We start from the raw sequence: 3,122 nt of genomic DNA on the forward strand, positions 1-3,122 counted from the left end.
GCCACTGAAATCATTCTGAAATTTGAGCTAGTTATTGTTCTAGAGGCAATAAGTGTGGAAATGGAAGGGAACCAGTAGAAAGTTATTATCCTGCAAAGTAACTTTCTCAAGTAAAATATTGAATGCTCTCTAGATATTGGGAGGATGTTCTCTTCTGGAGGTTATCAGGGGTCAGCTCCTTTCAACCCAAAGGTTCAAGGGCATCTGGGAAATGAAAGTTCTCATATACATACAGAAAAATGTCTCAATGCATTGCTTCAGGACCTACTTCTATTTCCTTTACTTCAGTGTAGGAAACTTGCAGGGACTGTGGACTTGGTTTCAATTATAACTTTGCCATACTCATAATCATTTCTTGGTCCATTTAATTTACAATAGAGTCATCTCTCTCACTGCATGAGATAAGTTATTTTAAATACTGCTTTAAAATATTTGTGGCATTCACTTCGTATACTAAATTCTTAGCCAACTGAATTGAGTCTGATATTTTCATACTTTGGCACTTCTCTGGCAATTAATAACAGCCAACTAAATCCACAAACATGAAAATCATCATTGCTTTCATATTTTTCAAGCACATGAGCTACTACTTAGGACAGTATAACCCCTTCCATCTCTAGCCGATACCAATCCATCATTTAATAATCTTGGTGCTACAATATGCCAGGCTAGGCAGTAATATTCTCCACATAGTCTCAATAAAGTTGCTGACATCTGGCCTGCAAGTGACCCATTGCCTGTTCCCATTCTAAGGGTCTCTTCTTAGGAGCATTTTAAGTACCAAGTGCATTATTCTTGGTTTCCCCAAACACATACTCTAAGGCAAAAGATTCAAATGCAAGTAATCTATTTGAGAGTTAAGTACAAGAATCACCAGAGAGGGGATGGAGAAATGAAAAAGGGAAATTAAGAGAAATTCAATATATTTTAATGAGCATGTTAGCACTAGGAGAAACGGGCTATATGTTTTGTTAGGGATCTCTGGCAGATAATACAGGACATGACTCAGAGTTAGCTCAAGGAGCAGAAATTATTATACCCCAGTTTCTATCCATCAGATGTTGCCAGGTAAAGAAACGGAGGAAATGAGCAAAGTTTAAAGTATTTCCAAAGGACTGATTTTCCTTATGGTCAATAACTCTATCTAATTGGAAAATAAATACAAGAAGATACAAATAGAAACCTGAGAATTCAAAGGACTGAGAGAGTTAAAAAAGACAAAAAATGGTGGTTAATGGATTTGAGTAGCTGAGATAGAAAGAAAAATGTCTGTGATTTCAGATGAGAAGCTGCAATTTAAATATTTTGCATATTAAAATTTGGACAATAAAAAATCCAAAGGTGTTCAGAGTGCTGGTTTTCTCCAGAGGAGCTGAAGGAGAGATAAGGAGAAGGGATCAAAAGATTAAGTAGGAAACCAAAATAAATTAGAATAAATTAAAATTGATTTAAATTGTGAAGAATAAGCAAATAAATATATTTATAAATTATATACTGAAGTGTATAAAACTTCTCTATGAATAAAATAATTATCATCATGTTTTCAAAAATGAAAAACACAAAGCATACTCTTGTAGTTATAAAAATTGTTTCCAACCATTCAAAAGCAACCATACTGAGCATCTTAATTTGTAATTTTAGTTTAATGATCACATAAAGTGATTAACTGAACTATACCAATAAAACTTATTCTTAAGTCTCCAGAATATTTACATTTAACTCTTAATATGTGCAAATGCAGTTCTGTATTTAATATGTAACACTGTTCAGCTCTTAATTCTTGGCCAGTGTGGCAGGACCCAGTTTAAAAGTAATAAAGGAGATATTTAATACTTAAAAGAATGTGAAAAGAAAAACCTCTAATATAAATAATTGGAAGGTATTTCAATTTACAACATGTTTTGGAATAATTTTATTAAATAATAGTCTAAGTTAAGCTTACATTGTTACATTTTATATTTTATTTTCCTGTCAAAACTTAGAGTACTTAATACAACAGCTGAGTAGATAAATTATTCATCATCACACCTGGTTTTGCATTGAGTAATGAAAAATTTACATCATTATTTAACAATTAAAACTTTCCCCATTTATCTCCAAATTTAAAGTGCACTTTCAGATATAAATTAAGTTGTACTATGTTTACTGTAGAATTTTGGTCATGTTTTATATCTAGTATATAACACTGACACTGATTTGTTACCTTTGCTGAATTTGAGTAAAGTATATCACAAAATTTTCACATTTCAAATATTTTATATTATACCTTTGTCCTTGCAATGGAGTGAATATTTTTGTCTCCCCCTCCCCCAAATTCATATGTTGAAATCCCAACTCTTAATATGATAGTATTAGAAGGTGGAGCTTTTGGGAAAAAAATAAGTCATGAGAGTGGAGCCCTCATGCATGGGATTAGTGTCCTTTTAAAAGAAACCCTACAGAGCTCTCTCGCCCGTTTTCTGGTATGTGAAGATACAACAAGAAGGAGGCAGTCTGCAACCTGGAAGGGAGTTGTCACCAAATATCAAGCAGGCTAGCACCCTGATCTTAGATTTCCAGCCACCAGAACTCTGAGAAATAAATTGCTGTTATGTATAAGCAACCCAGTTTATGGTACCTTGTTATAGCATCCCCAACTGAGTAGGACCATAATGAATTGCTTGAATGTACCACAATTCATATGTTAAAACACTAACCCCCAGTGGGATACTAACATGGGGGTTTGGGAGGTAGTTAGGTCATGAGGGTGTGACTCATAATTAGATTAGTACCCTTCCAAGACACATGCCATAGACCTTGCTTTCTCTCCCTCTGTCCCTCACCAGCATAGGAGAACATAACCAGAAAACAGGCCCTCATCAAACTCAGAACCTGCTGGCACCTTGATCTTGGACATCCCAACCTTCAGATTTATGAGAAATAAATTTCTGTTGTTTAATTCATCCAGTTTATGGTATCTTGTTATAGCAGCCTCCACACAAACGTTTTCCAAATATCATTTCAAAATACATTAGCCAAAACAATTTTTCAAAGTGTGGTTACTCTTCCACTTAGTTGTTAAATCTAAATATATATTTAACATTTCAGAAAGTGCCCTTCACTAATTGTTTTCATTAGTGCTA

This window comes from Homo sapiens, chromosome 4 (assembly GCF_000001405.40).
Source record: "Homo sapiens chromosome 4, GRCh38.p14 Primary Assembly".
Lineage (NCBI taxonomy): Eukaryota > Metazoa > Chordata > Mammalia > Primates > Hominidae > Homo > Homo sapiens.